Consider the following 24,474-nt stretch of genomic DNA (forward strand, 5'->3'; position numbering starts at 1 on the left):
ACAAATAACCAAATTTAAAAATGGGTAAAGGAATCAAAAAGACATTTCTTTTTTTTTTGAGACAAAGTCTCAAAGTCTCGAAGTCTCGCTCTTGCCCCCCAGACGATCTCGGCTCACTGCAACCTCCGCCTCCAGGGTTCAAGCGATTCTCCTGCCTCAGCCTCCCGAGTAGCTGGGATTATAGGCGCCTGCCACCATGCTCGGTTAATTTTGTATTTTTAGTACAGACGGGGTTTTCACCATGTTGGCCAGGCTGGTATTGAACTCCTGACCTCAGGTGATCCGCCCACCTCCGCCTCCCAAAGTGCTGGGATTATAGGCGTGAGCCACCGCGCCCGGCCAAAAAAGACATTTCTAAGAAGATATACAAATGACTGATAAACACATGAGATGTTCAACATCAGTAGTCATCATGGAAATGCAAATCAAAACCAAAATGAGACATCATTTCACGCCTACTGCAGGATGACTATAAAACATATGACAAGTGTTGCAAGGATGTGGAGAAAGCAGAACCCCATACACGCTGGTGGGAATGTAAAATGGTGCAGCTAGGTGCTTTAGAAGAGTCTGGCAGTGCCTCAAAAGGTTAGTCAGAGTTACCATACAGCTCAACAATTCCACCCCTAGGTATATACCCAGGAGAAATGAAAACATAGGTCCAATATAAACACTTGTACGTGACTGTTCACAGCAGCATTATTCATAAGAGCCAAAAAGTGAAAACCACCTAAATGTCAATCAACTGATGAATGAATAAGCAAAGTGTAGTAGATCTATTTTGAATATTATGCAGCAATAAAGAAAATGATGTAATGATAAATTCTACAACATGGACAAACTTTGAAAGCATTATGCTCAGTGAAAGAAGCCAGTCACAAAGTCATGTTCATATTCTGTGATTCCATTCATATGAAATATCCACAACAGGCCTATCTATAGAGACAGAAAATAGACTGGCACTTGCAAAGGACTGGGAGAAATGTATAGAACAGGGGGTGACTGGTAAAAGGTGGAGAGTTTCTTTTTCAGGTGATGAAATGCTTTAAAACTGACTATGGTGATGGTTGCATAACCCAAGACTTTGGACTGTACATTTTAAATGGGTAAATTATATGGTAGCTAAATTACATCTTGATAAAGCTGTCACGTTAAAAAAAAATCAAACTAGATTATAGACATTTGGGGTTTTTCACCCCAAGGTAACAAAATAAGTTAAGCCGTCCATTACAAGAAGTTTTCCACTTGGTAGATTTACTAATAGAAATCCAACACTGGGCTCTGTTTTCACATACCTCCTATCTGTAGCTCTGGACAACCCATTCGTCTCATCTGTGTGCTGACAGACTCAATCTCTTGAACAAGTGGCACTAATATTGTCTCATTGATCCACTAGAAGAAATAAGGTACAGATTTTGGATACATAATTCCCAAGTAGCTGTCAAATAATTACTTTCTTTTTTACAAGCAACTCTAAGAATTTTTTTTACTATCTTATAGTTGAATATTAAAAGAATCATAAAGTATAGTGAAAGAGAATGAAAGTAATAGCTACCCGAAATCAAGAGATGGTTAAATAAATATGCCACTGGAGTGTAAATTAACTAACTTACATTCCTTTTTTTTTTTCGAGATGGAGTTTCGCTCTTGTTGCCCAGGCTGGAGTGCAATGGCGCAATCTCAGCTCACTGCAACCTCCACTTCCCAAGTTCAAAGGATTCTCCTGCCTCAGCCTCCTGAGTAGCTGGGATTACAGGCACCTGCCACCACGCCCAGTTAATTTTTTGTATTTTTAGTAGAGACGGGGTTTCACCATGTTGGCCAGGCTGGTCTTGAACTCCTGACCTCAGGTGATCCGCCTGCCTCAGCCTCCCAAAGTGCTGAGATTACAGGCGTGAGCCACTGCGCCTGGCAACTAAATTACATTCTTAAATAACATGTTTTTATTTTTTTTCCTGAAAAAAAAATATAAAACTTTTAGCTATATGTTAAATTTTTCTTAAAATTTTCTGATTATTATGTTTAGCTAAAAGGATAATCTTCAGTTTACATTTGTAGGGTAACTATTCACACATTTATTAATGTAGTGTTTATATTGGTTTGCAATCAGTAAGATAGTTTTTCAAACTAACATAACTGCCTAACTCTCAGCAGGCTCACCCAATTCCCTAACCATGTGGAAAAACAGAGACTTATTACATTTGAAACTGGCTTTTGAATATTACAATATTACTTTAGGACTGGGACTTTCAAATGCCTTTTCCATGGCTAATATAAAACTAATGCTGGGATGTGAAAAGACTAAGGATACATCCCATCTGGTTTGTGTGTTATTATTTTGTGTATGTGTTTGTAGCAACTTCAATTACCACTTCTGTTTCCATGCTTTTGTTTATCCATAAAATAAAAGGATGAAAAAATGTTTCCAATGAAATACAATATTATAAACAACTGAAACAAAAACCTTCTGGGAACTTAAAAGATTTCTTGTAATCCATGTAAGGAAGCAAATTTTGATATACTGGCAAGACTTGAACTGAATTCACATGAAGCTATTTATAGGCTTTATCCCACTGAGTGTGACTATTCATATGTTTTTCTGCAGAAGTATTAATGTGGTTGATTACTGAGTGTTAACTAGACTCTGGTGTTATAAATTATACGGTACAGGTATACATGTATTGCTTAAAAAAATCCAAAAACTCTAAATTTTATAGCACATGGTCACCTAGGGACTTCAGATGAGGAAATGTATTTGTATTTCTTCTAAGTAGCTAATACTCTGTCTGACTAAGACTTCATATTTTAAACATGTTAGCATTTTTAGACTAGCCTATAACAGAAACTACAACAAACTCCAGTTTCAGGAGATGATTTGACTCATTCATCCTTCCAACATTTACTACATGCATCTTAATTTGCCAGCTGTGACAAATGGTACAAAAGAGTACAGCTGTACTCTTTGGCTGTAACAAAATTACCTAACGTGTCCCAGAGAGAGGTCTAGGCCCCACCCTTATAAATTCTAATTGAGTAAGTCTAGGATTGGGTTCAGGAATTATCCATAAAATGCCATCCAGGTTTCTGTTTCAATAAAGTAGGCTACCATTTTTTGCCCCTCTATTTTGATGCCCTATTTAAATAAGAGTAAAAGGATAAAAAATGAGCACAAGTGATTTCAAAATAGTTCTAGAAGATGCAGAGTGGATGGATGAATGTTGAAGGATGAAACAACAGAAGTAGTAGCCCCTTCAGAGCTAAGTGGAGCTCCGTATAGTGGAAGGGGAAGTCCATATGCCTAACAGAACCCAGAACACACAGGTACTAGAGAAGGTGGGAGGAAGACGTGGAGTTGGAAATAGGGAACTCACTCACTCTGTATATGGAAAAGTTGGCCCAAGATTAGAGGGTTCTTCTCTAGAAAAACAGAAATCATAATCTACTTTGAAATAGCTTCAAGCATATGTTGTCTTATCTCTCTAACTCTTTAAGTTTTCTGAGGGCAAGGACCTCATTTTTGTTTCCCCTCACAATTCTAGGTAAATAAAAGGCTCCAATAGAAAAGCTCTTTGGAAAATAAAACTGAGAACTGAAAAGGGAGGATCTCAATAACTAAACATATTATTCCTTTATCTTCTCAAAACATAACAATTCACTAAATATGGAGGAAGAAAAAAATCTCATGAAAATAAATACCATATAGTAACAGTCATGTTTATCCTTATATATGTACCATTCATACTGTACCTTTATAACTAATATTCTAATTTATAATGAACTCTAAATGATATTCTAATAACATGCTTTGCATATTAAGAGGCACTAATATTGTCCAAAGAGTAATGTCAGAACTTACATTTCTAAATTTAGCTGTCCATGAATCCATATGATCAAGAAGTTGTCTATTCATAGCCACTCTTGCCCAGACCTATAAAAATTCATGTTTAAAATGAACAATCAGTGAGGAAAAATCTTGATAGAAATCATCATTCTTTCTCCCATCCTAAAAAATATTTAATGAACTTTGAAAAAAAATTTCCCAAACATCAATATTCATCTAATTAATATTCAGTAATTTTCTTATTACTCACTTATAAATGCTGTTCACACACAGATTTATCTTTAAAAGTTCCTTACATTGGTATGTGTAAAGAACATTTTTCTTGCTTTTTTTTTTTTTTTTGAGATGGAGTCTCTCTCTGTTGTCCAGGCTGGAACACAGTGACGCAATCTTAGCTCACTGCAACCTCTGCCTCCCAGGTTCAAGCAATCCTCCCGCCTCAGCCTCCTGAGTAGCTGGGACCACAGGCACACGCCACCATGCTGGGCTAATTTTTGTAACTTTAGTAGAGACAGGGTTTCACCATGTTGGCCAGATGGTCTCAATCTCCTGACCTCGTGATCCACCCGCCTCTGCCTCCCAAAGTGCTGGGATTACAGGCGTGAGCCACTGTGCCCAGCCCATTTTTCTTGCTTTTAAGAACAAAATAAAAATTCCATATTTGGTATTAAAGTGACGAAATTACTGACAAATATTCTAATCCAAATATATTTTAAAAGCAAGACTTCTGTATGTGTTAAGTACAATTATATACCTGAGAGCCTTTTTATAATCAATGTAAAAATATGTTTCAGGCAGGGCGCTAAGGTGAACTGTGTGTCACAGAGTAAAATGTATGATATAATTTAGTTTTTAGTTTTAGGCACACAAAGTAAGACAGGAGCTTTCCCACTGCCTAATGTGTGCCAGATTTACATTTCTGTCCAACAGAATGGAAGATTACAGAAAAAATGTTCCAGAAGTAGAAGACTTTCTAACAATGCATAAATCATAAATATTAAGTCACTTTTATTTTCCACTTACCTCTTCTGCGGCTTGTTTAGAGCTGAGATCGGCTTCATCTTTGTTAGCACATGGGGCCTGAGACCTACAGGCAAGCTGATACTGAAACTTCTTTAAAGTTTGTGCATAATCCCCCATAGAACGACTATAGTTCCAGAAAGTAGGACTGCTGGAAGGAGAGGTAGAATCTGGGCTCCCTACAATTGTTAAGATAAACAGTATCAGTGTGTTGTAGCAATTCTGACATCTACAGTTAACACTTATATCTAGGCAATGGCAATCCAGGAATCAGAAGACCAACCCTCAAGGAGATTCTCTTCTCCCCAACATAATTTTCTCTTTAGAGATCACAGTCTGCTTGTGATTAAAAATTTTAAATAGTATTTTCTGAGCCATATCAATTTAACAGTCATAAAAACAATAAGCAGTCAAAGGCATCTGTCTAGTTCTGTTGAAAAGTTAAGCTCGTTTCATTCTCTAAGACTTTTAAATCATTTAGTAAGAAACAAACAAAAGACAAATTTCTTTAGGAAATAAATAGGCCAAGCAAGTTCTTTATTTGAAATTTCTAGAAGCTCTTTCTAAAAGGGATAACTATAGCCTCCTACTAAAAGATTACTCTCCTGGTAACAAGCTAAACTTATTTGTCCCTGTACTTCACTGTGTTTTACTTAACAGCCTGTGGTAATTCCTGAGTTGTACTAAAAGACTATCTGATGGTTATCCTTCTAAATTTATAAATTTACTTTTAAGAAATGTAAAAAAAAGTTCTATTTAGGAATGTACTCCTACAGAGGCCTCTGAACCAGGATATTAATCACACTTCCGGGTTATAGTTTTTGTCTGTTTTCCCAAATAGAATTTGAGCTCCTTGAAAGCAGGGAGCATTTTTTTTCCCTAGCATCTAGCATAGCGCCTGAATAAATAAGCAAGTTTTTGACAACAATTATATGGTATTTATGAAGGGCTTATATTTTCGGAGTTTAACTGATATAAAAAATATCAATTGGTACTTTATACCCTCAAACAAAACTTATAAATAGAAACAATTTTTTTTAATCTTAGCAGAATTCTAAAAGGAATGACTAGAAAATAATAAAACTCATTTTCCTTATGCTTACGGGTACAAAGAATTAGGAATCATCAAACGGGTATGTAGCAATATAATTCATCAAAATTTTGATGGTTAGCTAGTTTTGTTAGCGTTGGTGAATGTTTCATGCTGGCATAAAAAGTTATATACAGTAAAGAAACATCACACTGTATGAAATTCTGGCAAAACTGACTTTAGGAATGAATTAATGTCAAGAAAAGCAGTTGTCAACCAACATAAATGATTTAATAAATAGAGAACAGAAATGGAAAGTAAAAACATGGTCATAACAGAGCATAAAGTTATCCTATTTGATTAATCATTGCGATTATTAACTTTAAGAAACGTAAGTTTTCTATGAAAAAACTTGTATTTGAGTAAAATTTCATTGAGGACTGGCTTTAGACAATGAATAGAAATAGGAAGTTCTAGTACCTCTGGGCATTAGTCAAAGCAAAGAAAAAATGTACATAGCAAGTAATGACAAAATAGGGCCTTTCCATGATGAACACCACCATCACCACCACCACCACCACCACAACAACAGCACACAATCTATAGCTGGAGAACCTCAAAGACCTAAGAGTCAAAGCACATGGAGATTTGGAAATCTGGGCAACACAGGAAACCAGACAACCTAAAACATCTCCCACTATAAATATCTAAAAACATTTATTAAATAAAATACATTCTTTAGGCCAGTGCGCGGTGGCTCACGCCTGTAATCCCAGCACTTTGGGAGGCCGAGGCGGGCAGATCACTTGAGGTCAGGAGCTCGAGACAAGCCTGGCCAACATGGTGAAACCCTGTCTCTACTAAAAATACAAAAATTAGCCAGGTATGGTGGTGCATGCCTGTAATCCCAGCTACTCAGGAGGCTAAGGCAGGAGAATTGCTTGAACCCGGGAAGCGGAGGTTTCAGTGAGCCGAGATCACCCCACTGCACTCCAGCCTGAGCAACAGAGCTAGACTCTATCTCAAAAACAAAAAAAACCTCGATCTCAAAAAAAAAAACAACATTATTAAGATGAATAATGGAGCTTGCAAAAAAGTAAGGCTATGAATAGCCAGTGGTTAAAAATGAAAAGAGAATTAAAAATCTAAATAGCCTGTAAGAGGCTGCTGTGGCGTGGCTGCTCTAGAGAATTTTGTAGGCCTTGAGAAATCTATCAGCTTGGATTCATTGCCCAAGTGGGAAACGGAGATAAGGATTTGGGCCCTTAAGAGGCAGAGAGTTGGGCTGACACCTTTCTCCTACCCCTAGTCCCTGGTCCTGGTAGAGGACCAGGAATCTCAAAGGGCCACATTCAGAGTAGATAAGAAAAAAATCTGTTCAATGGGACCAGGAGATAATGAAAGCTTGTCTGTCATAGGTTGTTGGGAGACTTAAAAAAAAAAAAAAAGAAAAACAACACCCTGAGATTTAAAAATTATAGATATATCTTCACATGGGTTTAGAGTGCCCATTTATATTACCTGTGAGGTCCAGGAATCTCCAAGCTTAGAAATTACTTAAGTTAGCTCAAAGTCAATAATACTCCTAAGGCACCTGACAGAGGCAAATACAAAACAGCTAGGAAGAGACAAGGCTTCCATCCAGCCAAGATAAGCTTACCAGAAACAAACAGAAATTACATCAATCACAAGGAAACAAGACTGCAGTCCTAACAACCAACAAGACAAAAATGGTCAGTATTTAACCTCCAAGAACTTTAGATAATTGAACTATTGGACAAATAACATTTAAAAAGTGTGTTTAAGCAACTGAGATAGAAAAAGGAACTGAAAACATAAGAATAAAAAATATTCTACAAAAACCTGGCATAATTGAAAAGGACCAAATAAAACTATAAAATGAGAACAAGTGGCTGAAATTAAAAAACTCAATGAATTAGTTAAATAACAGTTTAGACATTACTAAAGAAAGAGCTGATGAGTCCACAGTGACTAAACCAAAAAAGCTGGGGTGGGGGTAAAACAGAATGCTCCTCTTTAGAGAAGAATGCCAAACTATGAAGTGTAGAAATAAATAATTAGAAAATCTCCACTTTGGCCAGGCGCAGTGACTCACACTTGTAATCCCAGCACTTTGGGAGGCCAAGGCGGGCGGATCACAAGGTCAGGAGATCGAGACCATCCTGGCTAACATGGTGAAACCCCGTCTCTACTAAAAATACAAAAAATTAGCCAGGCGTGGTGGCAGGCACCTGTAGTCCCAGCTACTCGGGAGGCTGAAGCAGGAGAATGGCATGAACCCGGGAGGCGGAGCTTGCAGCGAGCCGAGATCACACCACTGCACTCCAGCCGGGGTGACAGAGTGAGACTCCGTATCAAAAAAAAAAAAAAAAAAAAAAAAAGAAAATCTCTACTTTATAATCACCACTTTATCAAGGACAAGGATCATCAACAGATGCTAAAATCACTGGGTAAAAGGCTGTTAAGGAAACAGGACATAAAGGGAAAATCATGAAGAAATCCAGTTGCTATCAACTTAACCAAGTGATCCTATTTTATTATATATTACCGACAAAGAGACAAAGCAGCATCACGTATCTCCTGATGTGATACACTGAAAAGGACATGCCACCACCCATGTTGTATTCTTGCCAGAAAATAATATTTAAACGGAATCTAACAGTAACAAAATGATCAAACAAATCTGAATTTTCAAAACAACAGCCTCATCTCTTCAAAATGTAAATGTCATAAAAGAAAACAAAACAAAAAATCCCACAAAACCCACACTATCCAAATGGTTTCGATTTAAGGAGACAACAGAAGCACAAGTAAATGCAATATGTGATACCTGATTGGATCCTGCATCAATAAAAGAAAAAAAAAGCACTACAAGGGTCAGTATTGGGTCAACTGGGGAAATGTGAATATGAACACCCATAGTATCTTAAGCATGACAATCATATTGTCATTATTCATTTATTTATTTTTTCTTTGAGACAGAGTCTCACTCTGTCACCCAGGCTGGAGTGCAGTGGTGTGATCTCGGTTCACTGCAACCTCCGCCTCCCGGATTCAAGCGATTCTCCTGCCCCAGCCTCCAGAGTGGCTGGGATACAGGCTCGCGTCACCAAGCCTCGCTAATTTTTTAGTAGAGGTGGGGTTTCACCATGTTGGTCAGAAAATCCTGACCTGGTCTCAAAATCCTGACCTCATGATCCACCTGCCTCAGCCTCCCAAAGTGCTGGGATTACAAGCGTGAGCCACTGAGCCCAGCCCATATTGTAGTTATAAAGGAAGATGTCTTGGTCTTAGGAGATGCATGTGAAATATTCAGGAATGAAGTGGAATGATGCCCGCAACTTCCTTTCAAATGATTCAGCAAAAAAGTGTGCATGAGAGAGAGAATATGAGGGCCTGGTTTTTCACTACTGGAGAAAGTTACAAATACGAAAAGTGGGGAGGACAGAATAAACTGTATAGCTGGACTGGAACTAGAAGTAACATTATAAACTCATGGTTTTTTAAAAACATAGAATAACACATATAGATGTGTGTGTGTACATATATCTGTGTATATGTCCATACAAATATTTCCTAGAGGACCTGGAGTAATGATACCTCAATAATAACAGTGTGCCCAGTGCCCAGATAATAATTTCTAAGTATCATTCTCCATTAAAAGGAATCAGGGCTCTTAGAGAAACAGACTGACTCTGGAGCTAGCCAGGGAAAACACAAAATGAGCCTGACCTATTTTGTGGTGCTAGAAAGGTGGCGCGGGCAGGGGGATTAGCTCAAAGAATGATAGTGTCATGTCAAAAGAACAGAGAAGTCAGCTTACAGAGGATCCCACTAGCCCAATCTGAGACAATCAAATCGTCAACATAAGTGAATGATTAGGGAGAAGAAACCTTTATCTTACAGAATACCAACAAATAAATGTAAAAGGCAGCTGCACAATAATGTAAATGTACTTACCACCACTTAATTAAACACTTCAAATGGCTAATATTGGGCCAGGCGCGGTGGCTCACGGCTGTAATTCCCAGCACTTTGGAGGCCGAGGCGGGCAGATCACCTGAGGTCAGGAGTTTGAGACCAGCCTGGCCAACAAGGGGAAACCCTGTCTCTACTAAAAATACAAAAATTAGCCAGGCATGGTGGCAGATGCCTGTAATCCTAGCTACTTGGAAAGCTGAGGCAGGAGAATCGCTTGAACCTGGGAGGCAGAAGTTGCAGTAAGCCGAGATCGCACCACTGCACTCCAGCCTGGGCGACAGAGCCAAGACTCCATCTCAAAAAAAGAAAAAAAAAAGGCTAATATTGTAAATTTTATGTATACTGTATTACAGTAAAAAAAAAAAAGGAAAAATGTTAAAGGAATAAACATAGAAGAAATGATGAAATTGGAAAGCTCCATGACAACCAACATAGTAATAATTTTGAAAATAATCTTAAAAGGATGTTAGAACTAGTAAGTCAAAGTTTGATGGGGTCAGGCACAATGGCTTACGCCTATAATCCCAGCACTTTTGGAGGCCAAAGTGGGTGGATTGTGTGAGCTCAGGAGTTCGAGACCAGCCTGGGCAACATGGCAAAACCCGGTCTCTACTAAAAACACAAAAATTAGCATGGCATGGTGGCATGCATCTGTAGTCCCAGCTACTCAGGAGGCTGAGGTGGGAGAGGCACCTGAGCGCTGAATTCAAGGCTGCAGCGAGCCAAGACTGCACCACTGCAACAGTGAGACCTAGTCTCAAAAAAAAAAAAAAAGTTTGATGGGGACCAAATAACTATATAGTTTTAGATCAGTAGCTTCCCACAAAATACTTATTAATCATTTATTAATTTGCACAAAATACTTAATTTTCGAAAACCCATGGGTATAGAAGGGCTAAAAGTATAGGGATAGAGATAGATATACCAGCCAGATACTAACCAAAAGGAAATTAATATAGATGTGTCAATGTCAGACAAAATAGACTTTAAGGCAAAAAGCCTAAGAGATAAAGATAAGTGGCATAATTCACCAGAATGATATTCACAATTCTGAATTTACATGCATTTAACGTAATCTCGTATGTATACTTAGCAAATCTGACAGAATTGCAAGAAAACATTTAATGGAAGACAATCAACGGGAGCTTTTGGCACACTTTCTTAATAACCAATAGATAAAGCAGATAAAAATTAGTAAGATAAAGTATTTAAGAATACCATCAAGAAGTGTGACAGTGAACAAATATAGAGCCCCAAATTTAGAGACTCTGCATTCTGTTCAATATACCAAAGCCATTTACAGAAAAGTGATCACATAGTAGACCTAAAAGCAAGTCTCAAACAAACAAACACAAAATTGATAGGTACAGATCAGATTCTCTAACCACAGTAAAATTAACTTAGGAGAAAAAAAAGGTAACCAAGCCTTTTCAGGCTTGAAAATTAAAAGCAACACCAATAACACTTCCAAACAATAATAATATTACTTCTAAATAGCTCCTACTGGGATAAAGAATAAAAGTGAAGTCAGAAAATATCTGGGTATTACAAAGATGTGCCAAGGATACATAGGTTCTTTGTATTATACTCTGTATTAAAGTTTCAGTAGACTCAAAATATTTCAAATTTTTTTCAAAAAGCATGTATCAAAAATAAGAAGATAGTATTGACTGGTTTCTGTAACATCTGTGGCACTTTCAGGCAAAATGAAATTAGAAATCACTGGTGAGACTCCAAGCGACACAAAGAGTCATGGTCCAATAACCGGCTTCCTCGCCACAGCTGAGTATTAGCGCCTAATATGCTTTCGTGAAAGTTCCTGACGGGGGAAAAATCATTACTCAGTTCAATAACCTAATTTGGTTTCAAATAATTGACTCTGTAATAATCAAATTCACCCCAAACAGATTAAGATTTGCTAACACTCTTTCCCAAGGTAAACTATAGGCTTTCAGGAAATACTAAAACGCAAGTTTTAAAATGTTATGAAAAACAGCAGCGCTTCTCGAGTAAATACATGTTCTCTCTTTCAGCCTGCTCTGCCACACCAACCTTCCAAAAGACTACTTGAAAAGAGACAGCTATAATTTGAGTAAGTTCACTACGCACTGCTTCAAAACATTATTTTGTAGCCTCAACTTTAAATAGAAATTGTAACTTACATTATACGAAAAAGCTTTCAATCTTATTGTAGGTTTGAGATTTCTTAGTTTAGCTATATTTCACTTCCTAAATTTAGTGAACTTAATTCTAACTGCATAAAATAATGTTACATATAAAGTAAAACAAAACATGCTAAGCTAATAAAGTATGTTAGTATGGATATTAAAATAATGAAAATAGTAGGTTAAGGATTGACACCAAAAATATGTATAGTAGATATACAGAAATATATATGTACCCAGCTTAACCCTATGCTGTTTCTCCTCTTCACTTCTGAGAAAAGTATCCAAAGTTCGTAGGTCGGTCATGTAGTCTTCTTTGTCAGTAGGTGAGTTGTAGACGGTAGGTGAAGAACGGTAGCGAGATCTCAATCCACTGCTCTCCACTGGTCCAACAGTGGTAGGGTACGGAGAAGGAGGAGAGGGGCTAAAGCTCGCCAACTATACAAAATAAAAGATCTTTACTTTATTTTTCTTTAATTGAAATTCATTTTGTTTTGGTTTTTGACTTAAGTAAAACACCTAGTAGAATGGCGAAAATCCACAATACTGACAACATCAAACGCTGATGAGGTTGTGGAACAACAGAATCTCTCATTCTTTGCTGGTGGGAATGCAAAATGATACAGCCACTTTGAAACAGTCTGGCTGTTTCTTACAAAAGTAAATATTATCTTACCATACGAACTAGTAATTGTGCTCCTTAGTATTACCCAAGGAGTTGAAAACTTACGGCCACACACAAACCTGTATGTTTATGGCAGCTTTATTCCTAATGGCCAAAACTTGAAAGCAACCAAGATGCCCTTCAGTAGGTGAACGAGTAAATAAACTGGCAAAATTAGGTAATGGAGTATTAGCACTAAAAAGAAGTGAGCTATTGCTGGGCACGGTGGCTCACACCTATAATCCCAGCACTTTTGGAGGCTGAGGTGGGCGGATCACCTGAGGTCGGTGACCAGCCTGACCAACATGGAGAAACCCTGTGTCTACTTAAAATACAAAATTAGCTGGGCGTGGTGGTGCATGCCTATAATCCCAGCTACTCGGGAGGCTGAGGCAGGAGAATCGCTTAAACCCCGGGAGGCGGAGGTTGTGGCGAGCCAAGATCGCGCGACTGCACTCCAGCCTGGACAATAAAAGCGAAACTCCATCTCAAAAGAAAAAAAAAAAAGTGAGCTATCAAGCTACGAAAAGACATAAAGCAATCTTAAATGCATATTGTTAAGTGAAAGAAGCCAATCCGAAAAGCTACACGGGTATGATTCTAAGTACATGACGTTCTAGAAAAGGCAAAACTATGGCGGCAATTAAAAAAAAACACTGGTTAACAGGAATTTGGAGGAAAAGATGAATGAATAAATGGTGCAGTTTCATTCTGTATGATACTATAATTGTGAACATGTCATTACACATTTGTCCAAACCCATAGAACGTACAACACCAAGAGTGAACCCTAATGTAAACTATGCACTTTGGGTGATAATGACGTGTCAATGCAGGTTCATCAGCTGTAAGAAATAAACCACTGTGAGGCCGGGTGCGGTGACTCACGCTTGTAGTCCCAGCACTTTGGGAGGTCTAGGTGGGCGAATCACGGGGTCAGGAGATCGAGACCATCCTGGCTAACATGGTGAAACCCCGTCTCTACTAAAAGTACAAAAAAATTAGCTGGGTGTGGTGGCGGGCACCTGTAGTCCCAGCTACTCGGGAGGCTGAGGCAGGAGAATGGCAGGAATCCGGGAGGCGGAGCTTGCAGTGAGCCGAGATTGCACCACCGCACTCCAGCCTGGGTGACAGAGCGAGACTCCGTCTCAAAAAAAAAAAAAAGAAATATACCACTGTGAGGGGGTATACTGATCATGGGGGAGGCTATGCATGTTAGGACAGGGGATGTACATGAGATCTCTTGATTTTGCTGTGAACTCAAAACTGCTCTAAAAAATAAAGTCCATCAAAAAAAAAAAAGGTAACTCATGGAGCCCAGGAGTTAGAGGCTATGGTGAGCCACGACTGTGCCACTGCATTCCAGCCTGGGTGATAAAGAGCAAGACCCTATCTCTTAAAAAAACAAGTAACACATGCATATTTTTAAAAATAGAAAGTATAAACATCTGTAACTTTGCCACCCAGAGATAATATAATCCTTTTTCATATTTTATGTATTTTAAAATCTCTAAAATATACATAGCTTTGTCAATGTTACAATGAAGATAGCTGTACATAAATCTTTGACTGAATTTCTGATGGCTTCTTTAACAGATGCCTAAAACTGAAATTATTTGGTGAAAGCATATTAACATTTACTTGATATACAAGAATTTTAAAAATTGGACATTTAATTTGCATTTCCCTATATTTATGACATTGAACACTTAAAAAATACAATTACTGGTCACTTGGATTACTTATTTTATTTAAATGTTTACTCAAGTACATTTATAATATTTTTCTATTGGGGTCTTATTATCACTTCGTATTAGTTTGCAATAAGTTAAAGATTAACCAGTCTTGTAATTGTTAAATGCTGTTTGAAAATAAAAAGGTTAATCCTCTTCCACACAGATTTCTCTTTTATTTTTAAAATTAACATATTACATAATTATATACACTATATCTGGGCTATTATTGCATTAATTGGCCTATTTTTGCTTACGGGCCATAATATTTTACTTATTAAGTTTTAATGTCTATGGGGAAGTATCCTGTTACTCAAAATTTTCTTGGCTCATTTGTTTTTCTTTATTAACTTTAAAATCAATGAGTAACTTGCATAAATCTATTCTTTAAAAATGGTAGACTGGGACTGATTAGAATTGCATACACCTTATACATTAGCATGTAGGGAGAAAATCTTTATAACAGTATCTTTTTATCCAAGAACATTTCATCCCTCTTCATCTAGCATCTCTTATTATTTCTTGGCAATATTTTGGCCCCACTTTACTTCTAAAGCTCAATCTTGGAATCTTATGTTTTTTAATCAATTATGAAAGGAATTTTGAAACTCCTATTGGATCTAATTGAATAATGCTGGCATATATATGACTGTAAGCTATTGATTTTGGATATTTACTGTGTATCCAGCCACTTAACCAAAGTTTTTAATATTAAAATGGATGTTTTTAGGAAACAGCTTTTCGAACTTTAGGTTTTAAATGAACTCTTGAATATAATGTATTAATAGAATTCTTGCATTGTTAGGATAAATTTTACCTGGTCATCAATTATTCCTTAAAAGTTATTTGGAAAAAAAAAAAAAGTTGTTAATTTCTGTGAATTCAAACCATTATTTAATTTACAACTTTCACATTGTCCTATTTGTTTTTATGTTTTTTCGGTTTGTTTTTTACAGATCCCAGGGAGAACTATTTTGTGCTTTAAGTTTTATTACATTCTGTAAAGTGAAATAGGTAGTGGTGTTCTCATCTTTTCTGCATTTGGTAATAATTCATATTGAATACCAAGTATTTAGGCAGTCATTATATATGTTAGGCAATGTGCTAATTACACTTAATATATACATTGTCTTATTTTATCTTTTCAATAACAGGTACATATGATTACTATATTCGCCTTATGAGTTTAGGTAACTTGCTGAAGATCACACCAGGATTTCAATCCTGTTTTCTAACTCAAGTTTATGTTAACATGTTGTTTTACTGGATTAGAATTAGCTGTTCATACCCCAGCAAAATATTAATAACTTTTAGAAGATGGGTAAAAGATACACAGGAGTTTACTATATTAAAACTGGTCTCTTCACTTTTGTGAGTTTGAGATTTTCCATAATAAAAAGTCTATAAAGTAACTGTTTCTTCAAAGTTTAAAAGAACTCAATAATAAAACTTAAGGGCCCTACAGTCTTCTGGGGATGTATTCGATATATTGTTTTTAAATTTTCCCTCTCATTTTGGTTTTCTACTTCTTAGCCAATTTTTGGCTTTTTTTTTTTTTCCAAGAAAAGTAATGTATTTCATTAACTTTTCTAAGTTATTAGTTTGGTTCAACAGACACTGATGTAGGTAGCATCTATATTCCATATATTGTGCTAAGGAAACAAAGATGAATAAAAACATAATCCTGTGCTCAAGAGGGTTACAGTCTAGAGGGAAAAAAGTGAACATTATTATAGACTGAATGTCTGTGTCTTCCCCAAATTCATATGTTGAAGCCCTAACCCCCAATGTGGCTGTTTTTGAAGTAAAGGGGTAATTAACCTAAGTGAGGTCATTGGAGTGGGGCCTTGTTCTGACAGGCTCAGTGCCATATGAAGAGATACCAGAAAGGCCATGGCAGGGCAAAGTGGCTGTCCGTAAACTACAAAGAGCCCTTACCAGAAACCAAACTAGCAGGGACCTTGATCTTAGACTTCTAGCATTCAGAACTATGAGAAAATAATTTCTGTCAGGCCACAAAGCCTGTGGCATTTTTTAATGGCAGCCCAAGCAGACTAATACAAGCAATTATTTTAAAATACTATGCTTCGTTTGGTATATCATTATGCAAATATTCTAAGGTGGGAATGTAAGATGGCATAGTGGCTACAAACCATGGTATGGGGCCAGGTGTGGTGGCTCATGCCTGTAATCCCAGCACTTTGGGAGGCTGAGGCAGGAAGATTGCTTGAGTCTAGAAGTTTGAGACCAACCCAGGCAACATAGCAAGACCCCATCTCTACCAAAACAAACAAACACCACACAGTGTTTCCTCAAAAAATTAAAAATTGATACATAAACTCTACTTCTTGATATATACCCAGAACTGAAAGCAGGGACTCAAACAGATAAGCTGTACAGCCATGTACACTGCAGCATTCGCTATTCCCAAAAGCCAAAAGGTGGAAGCCATCAACATATGAGTGGATAAACAAAATGTGGTGTATACATACAATGGAATATTATTCAGCCTTAAAAAGGAAGGGAATTATAACACATGCTGCAACATGGATGAACTCTGAGGACATTACGCTAGTGAAATAGGCCAGTTAAAGGACAAATACTGTATGATTCCACTTACATGATGTACTTACAGTATCAAATTCAGAGACAGAACAGTGGTTGCCAGAGACTTAGGGGGTGGAAAAAGAGAGTTAATTGTTCAGTAGGCACATTGTTTCAGTGGGGAGATGATAAGTTCTAGAGACGGATGATGGTGACAGCTGCACAATTTGAATGCATTTAATGCTACTGAACTATGCACTTAAAAATGGTATGTTTTATCATCATTAAACAAAGGATGATATTAAGAGTGTTTTCAGCAGACAGAATAACTTAAAAAGATCAGTAACAACACAGACACATGAAACATTATGGTAATAGCTATTCTCTGCTCTTACCATAAAATGTAAAAATATTCATTTTGGTTTACACTTCTCTGTATCCTTTTCTAAATCTTCCATTTCAATTTCTCCTTAAGTCTATGTCTTATTTGCTCTGCTGATTTGACAGATTTGTCTATTTTATGGGATTTCCCATGCACACAGAAAAAAGCTCTTAGATAACAGTTCATTAACATTTGCTTTTATCATTTTAAAAATAGCTTTATTGAGATATAAATTCACATACCACACAATTCACTCATGTAAAGTGCACAACTCAATGTTTTAGTATATTCACAGGATTATACAGCCATCACAATCAATTTCAGAACATTCTTGTTCTTCCACTAAAATCAATCCCCTTTTCTCCTTCCTTCCCACCCCAACTTTAGATAACCACTAATCTTCCTGTCTTTATAGATTTGCCCATTCTGAACATTTCATGTAACTAGAATCATATAATATGTGGTCTTTTGTGACTGGTTTCTTTCATTAGCATAGTGTTTTCAGGACTCATCCATGTTGTACCATACACCTATCATTTTTTCTGTATCCTCCTTGTTGTACTCTCCTAACTTTGACCTGAATTCTGGGTACATCTATTTTTATTTTTTAAAACAAAAATGGGTAGGGCGAGGTGGCTCATGCCTGTAATCCCAGCACTTTGGGAGGCTGAGGTGGGCGGATCACTCGAGGTCAAGAGTTGGAGACCAGCCTGGCCAACATGGTGAAACCCCGTCTCTACTAAAAATAAAAAAATTAGCTGGGCATGCTGGTGGGCCCCTATAATCATAGCTGCTCAGGAGGCTAAGGCAGGAGAATCCCTTCAACCCGGGAGGCAGACGCTGCAGTGAGCCGAGATCACACCACTGCACTCCAGCCTGGGTGATAAGAGTGAAACTCTGTCTCAAAAAAACCCCCCCAAAAAACAAAAATGAAACCATTTAAGGTTAAGAATTTACCACTGCAAATAGCTTTTACTATATTCATAAATTCTGATACTGAAGCATTCTTGTTTTCCTAATTTTAATTTAACCTAATATTTTGGTGAGTATTTTTAAACATTTTAGTGGTGTTTTTCAAACCTTTATTTTTAATTTCTAGTTTTATTTTTGTTTTGGTCAGAAAATACAATGTGTACAATTTCATGAACATCTCAAATAGAAAGGTACAATATTCAATAGTATTCTTATGGAGGTTGTCTTATTAAATTTTACTGTTCCAATCTTTTGTGTCCTTATTTGTTGCCTACTTTATCAGACATTGATAATGCTAAAGTCTTCCAATACAATTGTGTTTATTGATTTCATGTTTCTAAAGGTTTTTGTTTTACATTTTATGATGCTGTATTATTCAATATACAGGGATTGTGAATCTAACTATTATTTTATTATTTCTTCCATCAACTTAAAATGACCTTTTGTCTCATATAATTCTTCCTCCTCTAAAGTTATTCATTGTTAATACTACCACCTTATTTTTATGCTTTCCTGATATGCCTTTGTCACCTTTTTAATTTTTTTATTTTTTTTTTGAGACAGAGTCTTGCTGTGTCGCCCAGGCTGGAGTGCAGCGAGCCATCTCGGCTCACTGAAAGCTCCGCCTTCCTGGTTCACGCCATTCTCCTGCCTCAGCCTCCCGAGTAGCTGCGACTACAGGCGCCCGCCACCACACCTGGCTAATTTTTTGTATTTTGTTTAGTAGAGACAGGGTTTCAACATGTTAGCCAGGATGGTCTTGATCTCCTGACCTTGTGACCCGCCTGCCTCGGCCTCCCAAAGTGCTGGGATTACAGGCGTGACCCGCTGCGCCCAGCCGTCACCTTTACTTTCTTTTGATAATTTCCTGACATATCTTTTAAGATTTTAAAAAAAGAAAGATTACTAAGGTAAAAAAAACTCAACTCATTATTTTTTCCCTCTAACTTATAAATACAAAGATGTACAAGGCAGAAGAAATGACTGGAAAAGAGTGGGTACAAAGGGAGAGTTAACATAAGAAAAAAATTATTTCTTTAAAAATAAAAATTATATTTTGGTGGTGTCACTTCTTTTGTACAAATAGAACATAAGCTATGATTTATCTGTTTTTGAAGCAAAAATGCAATAGTATTTAACATTTTTTGTTAACTCTTCTAACAGTCAGTCCACAATGAAACTGCTACACACAGCACTAAAAACACAGCAAGTGAACAGAATCACCCCGAAAAAGACAAATCACATGTAATTCAAAGGAGGCTCCAAGTCAATCAAGGTAAAAATAATTTATAATATTGGGACAACTAGTTATCAATTTTAGCAAAAAACAAAAATGAGAAAATTATCATCTTATATTATGGTGGGGAGGGGAATCAATTCTGAAAGTAAGAAAATTTCTAAATTTAAAAACAGAGCAAACCACAAGGAGATAAACAGATAGGACTATTAAACATTTAAAGTTTCTCTCTCTCTATATATATATATATTAAACTCTATAATTAAACAGCAACCCAAGAAAAAAAATCAGAGGATACAGACCCAAAAGACAAGCGAGTAAAGCACGAGAACTTCCTGATTTAGCTATGCGGCTTTGAAATAAATGTATGTTAAAAGTTACGATAGACTATTGTCATGTTTCTTATTAGCAGAGATTTATTTTTTTAAAAAATTAACTTGATGGTCAACAGTGTGGTAAAACAAACACTCTTCTACATTTCTGTGACAATGTAAATTGGTACAATTCTTTTGGATCGACACTCCCATCCCAAATTTATCAATAATTTTATGTACAGGGCTATTTAGTATACATTAAAAAGTTTTTTTATAAATGAAAATGACTTAAACATTCAAGAGTAAATTATGGTATATCCATTAGATGAGTATTAAATAGCCATTAAACAGATTATTTTTGTGTGGCAGGACTATAATAATTTTCCTTCTGTTTTACTTTTCCAATTTTCTATAAGGATCATATAGTATCATCTTGTGAAAAATTATTTTTAAAAGTCACATTTACCTATGAGTTATTAATTTTCACTACATATATACTTTCTCATAAAAATTTAACTTGTACAAAATTTTCAAAATTCTATTACCTGCCAAAATTAATTTTAATATTGGATAACCAGTAGTATGGAATTTCATTACAAAGAAATGTGTAAATGTTTGGGAGGTCGAGGAGGGCAGATCGCAAGGTCAGGAGATCGAGACCATCCTGGCTAACATGGCGAAACCCCGTCTCTACTGAAAGTACAAAAAATTAGCCGGGCACGGTGGTGGACGCCTGTAGTCCCAGCTACTCGGGAGGCTGAGGCAGGAGAATGGCATGAGCCCGGGAGGCGGAGTTTGCAGTGAGCTGAGATCACGCCACTGCACTCCAGTCTAGGCAACAGAGCGAGACTCTGTCTCAAAAAAAAAAAAAAAAAAAAAAAAAAAAGAAATATGTAAATGGATAAGGGCAGACAATGTGTCAGTTTCATCTCCAGAGACTCCTCTTTTAACTAGCAGCTACAGAGATGTTAGTCGAACACAGTAGCGACAGCATCTGAAATGACCACTCTTCTTTCAACGCCCCCTTATATTAATAGTTTTATGCTTCAAGAAGGAGTCAAAATTTCAATTTGTCAATCCTGTTTCTATTAATCCTAAAAATTAGAACAAAATTTCACATTACTGTGGGAGTGGAAATGAAGGTTCCTACTATTCCATGGAAAGCGTCCATATTCAAGAATCATTTGTACTCATTGGAAAAAAAAAAGAAACTATGTGACAATCTCAGCTTTTAGCTTAGAAGACACTCCAACATGATAAACCACACTAAAACTCTAAAAAGGTATACAAAGGCCTCACATGAAGAAGGAAAGCAAGAGGGAAAACAGGAGTAAAAGCAACTAAAGTAAAAAATTATCCTTGTTTCAACTTGTTTTAAAGACAGCTGAAAGATCGTAGATGGTGCACTAAGTTTGTTATCTCTGTAAATGCTAATTTTTTCTCTTTCATTTTAAGATGTTGTGTTTAAGATATTATGTTCTATTCTCGGTTTTTAAATGGGTGTTCTGGGCAAATCAACTCTCAGTTTGCTCACTGATAAGTTTTGACTCATTAGATGATTTTTAGTATACCTCTCAATTCTAAAATAATGTGACTAGACAAGAGAAGAGAGTCATTACCTTATTATAACCACTGACGGGCGAGTAGGTCACTCCAGGGCTATAAGAACCACTGCCACCTGAGGACAGACCTTGCAGCTGAGGGCTGTAACCAGTCATACAGCTGGTGGTGAACTTGGGACTGGTACTGGGCGAACGAGAAGGGCTATAACTCAACACACTCTGACCCTGAATTGAAGGGGAAGGTGGAGCGGGAGGGATTTGGGTTGCTGCCAGATCATGTGGAGGCGTAGTCTGTACAACTAGAAGGAAAAAAAAAGCAACATATGTGTATGTACCTTCAAATAAAATTATACGAAAATATATTTAAGCAACTAAGTCTTTCTCTTAAGGGAAAAAAGTTAACAGAGTTACTTGGTTGTTAAATCACAGAATGTATTATTACCAAAGGACACAAATTACGTGTTTACCATTTCCAGAGTGCAAAATTAGAAACTGGTTTCAACTCAGCAAGTTAGTCATTTAATTTTAATTGCACCTGAACAATGGAACAAACTTCCATGAAATAGCTGAATGTATACAAGTAGGAATGATAATCATTGGTCATAAGACAATTTATTGTATCCTGCTTAAGATAGCTGATGTCCCTTCCAGCTTTGAGTCTACGAAATGGGAAAATTAAACTGAGAAAGATTTATTGCCAACCTTTTCCCCACCTTTGCAAGAGATATAAAACACTCACCAGCTGTTTTCAACCCTAAAAGTGTTTGCTGTCCAGGACTAACAACCAGACTTGTTGGTGCCACAGTATATTTGAAATATCTCCAAAAATCAAATAAGGCATTAAGGCTGAAGAGAGATGCAAGGGCAAGCTCTGGAAGAGAACAATTTTTTTTTAATAAGGGGGGTGAGGAGGGCATCTATTGGAGAACACAAAAACCCTCTATACTTAGCAAACTAAAATTACCTTCTTATTCCTCATAAAAACTATAATTTAATGAATGTTATGTGTAGGGTGGCTGGGCATGGTGGCTCACACCCATAATTGCAGCACTCTGGGAGGCTGAGGCGAGTGGATCACCTGAGGTCGGGAGTTTGAGACCAGCCTGGCCAACATAGTGAAACCCCATCTCTACTAAAAATATAAAAATTAGCCAGGTGTGGTGACGCACACCTGTAGTCTCAGCTACTTGGGAGGCTGAGGCAGGAGAATTGCTTGAACCTGGGAGGTGGAGGTTGCAGTGAGCTGAGATTGTGCCACTGTACTCCAGCCTGGGTGACAGAGTGAGACTCCTTCTCAAAAAAAAAAAAAATTATGTGTAGGTAATTTACTAGTGAGTTTCAAAATAGCACTAATCCTAGCAACCCTGTACAATAAATATTTTCACCTTCATTTTAAATATAAACCAACATTATTCAGAAGCCAAGTGACTCTTACAAGAGTAGAGAGTTAGTTAGTGAAGCCATGATTCTAACTGAGGTCTGCTGATTGCAAATCCCTTGCTCTCCCAACTTGGCACACTATCTCCCTGTGAAAGACTTTAATGTGTATAGACTATGAAATTTACTTTAACATCCATAAAGACTCTTTATACCCAATGACTATGGAAGAGCAGACAAGAAGAGAGGAAAGAATGTGAAAACTGAGGAAGGCATCAATGGAGCAGAAATCTGGGCTGGTCTTGAAAAGTAAAAAGGTAGAGACACAGAAAGCGCATTTCAGGAGAGTAATAAAAACAAATCTCACTAACCTCTAAACTTATTTTTCTTCACAGAACTCATAATTACCTGAAGTGTTATTAATCTGATTGTCTAACAGAATGTTCCTTTCATAATAGCAGGGATTTACCTTGCTCCCTTTCTGCTGTATTCCCAGTTTTTACAACCCAGCAGGCAGTCAAATACTTGTTGAATAAGGAAATGTATACTAAGCTGAATTAAACCTGAAGGCAGTTTTTTATTGGTAAATGTAAGTTACAGTGAAAATTACTTACTTACCAATATACCAGAGGGGCCAGTATGTCACATTGTAGTATGAACTAATCAATTTTCCAGTCCTGAAAAAAAATTAGAAAGGCTTTCCAGTGAACCTAAAAACACCAAAAATCAAAAACAAACACAAAAACCTGTGGAACCAGCCACTGGCTTCTTAAAGTTTCACTTTTTTTGGACTGATTCACTTACATTTCAGTATATATCATTCCAGCCATAGATACATTTAGGAGTCCCCAGGCTAAGACCACTTTCCTAGCCTCTGTTTCTTTTCTCATCTTGATGGTTCTGTCAATAAGGGAAGCACTAGGGTGTGCCTCCCCCTGCATCTATGAAAAAACAAAAAGCACAGGAATTAACCAGAAGAAACTATTGCTCCATTTAAAAACCAAATTTTGCATCCCTTATAAAGGTAACTGAAACCGCATATACCTTCTCTCATCTTTAAAATGTTTTATCAAAACTTCTTCCATTTTAATATCAGTATATGAAAAGGGAACCCAAAATTATATGTAACTTAATTGGCATCACAGTGTAATCAACAGAGAAGTGGCTGGTTATTTATCTATTTATTTGTTTTGAGACGGAGTCTTGCTGTCTCCCAGGCTAGAATGCAGTGGCGCGATCTCGACTCACTGCAACCTCCGCCTCCCGGGTTCAAGCGATTCTCCTGCCTCAGACTCCCGAGTAGCTGGGATTACAGACGCCCGCCACCGCGTCCGACTGATTTTTGTATTTTTAGTAGAGACGGGATTTCAACATTTTGGCCAGGCTGGTCTCGAACTCCTGACCTTGTGATCCACCCGCCTCGGCCTCCCAAAGTGTTGGGATTACAGGCGTGAGCCACCGCGCCCAGCCGTGGCTGGTTATTTAAGAACAATTTAATACTTCCAATACATAAAAATGTCTTATTTTGTAATTTAAGGGTTATGTCTAGAAATACTTTGTATTTTGTCTTTGGGGTATGTTACACGGACTAGGCAAAAGGCTAACTTCAGAAACTCAAAATGTCAAGTTTTG

At 37.1% G+C, this 24,474-nt stretch overlaps 1 protein-coding gene and 1 long non-coding RNA gene across 6 annotated transcripts in view, besides 2 other annotated features; one reads left to right on the plus strand and one right to left on the minus strand.

Annotated features, from left to right (window-relative positions):
- The window catches only part of TMEM209 (transmembrane protein 209), a 40,694-nt gene that overhangs the window by 15,615 nt on the left and 605 nt on the right, over positions 1–24,474 (minus strand). For all 4 annotated transcript variants that reach the window (NR_156699.2, NM_001301163.2, NM_032842.4 and 1 more), the window contains exons 2-9: positions 23,647–23,783; positions 23,461–23,519; positions 22,205–22,336; positions 21,523–21,764; positions 12,295–12,496; positions 4,865–5,040; positions 3,857–3,928; positions 1,296–1,392 (exon numbers count right to left, since the gene is read on the minus strand). Coding sequence is in view for 3 of the 4 variants with exons in the window: in NM_001301163.2 (NP_001288092.1) it covers positions 1,296–1,392; positions 3,857–3,928; positions 4,865–5,040; positions 12,295–12,496; positions 21,523–21,764; positions 22,205–22,336; positions 23,461–23,519; positions 23,647–23,783 (1,117 nt within the window). In the remaining variant the exon portion in view is untranslated. The remainder of the gene's footprint in view (positions 1–1,295; positions 1,393–3,856; positions 3,929–4,864; positions 5,041–12,294; positions 12,497–21,522; positions 21,765–22,204; positions 22,337–23,460; positions 23,520–23,646; positions 23,784–24,474) is intronic.
- Positions 2,707–2,826: an enhancer, noted in NCBI's record as "active region_26649". NCBI's record gives its function as "activates an Ori minimal core promoter by ATAC-STARR-seq in GM12878 lymphoblastoid cells {active_cell/tissue: GM12878}" and the evidence as "EXISTENCE:reporter gene assay evidence [ECO:0000049][PMID:35858748]".
- On the plus strand, positions 11,753–19,969 carry LOC124901745 (uncharacterized). Of its 2 annotated transcripts, XR_007060522.1 has the most exons (3): positions 11,753–11,985; positions 19,517–19,628; positions 19,860–19,969. It is a non-coding gene; the product is annotated as an uncharacterized LOC124901745 (long non-coding RNA). The 2 variants fall into 2 exon arrangements; XR_007060521.1 differs by having other exon boundaries at positions 19,517–19,969.
- Positions 23,562–23,856: a silencer, noted in NCBI's record as "tiled region #12451; HepG2 Repressive non-DNase unmatched - State 3:PromF". NCBI's record gives its function as "represses a minimal TATA promoter and a strong SV40 promoter by Sharpr-MPRA in HepG2 cells {active_cell/tissue: HepG2}" and the evidence as "EXISTENCE:reporter gene assay evidence [ECO:0000049][PMID:27701403]".

This window comes from Homo sapiens, chromosome 7 (genome assembly GCF_000001405.40).
Source record: "Homo sapiens chromosome 7, GRCh38.p14 Primary Assembly".
Lineage (NCBI taxonomy): Eukaryota > Metazoa > Chordata > Mammalia > Primates > Hominidae > Homo > Homo sapiens.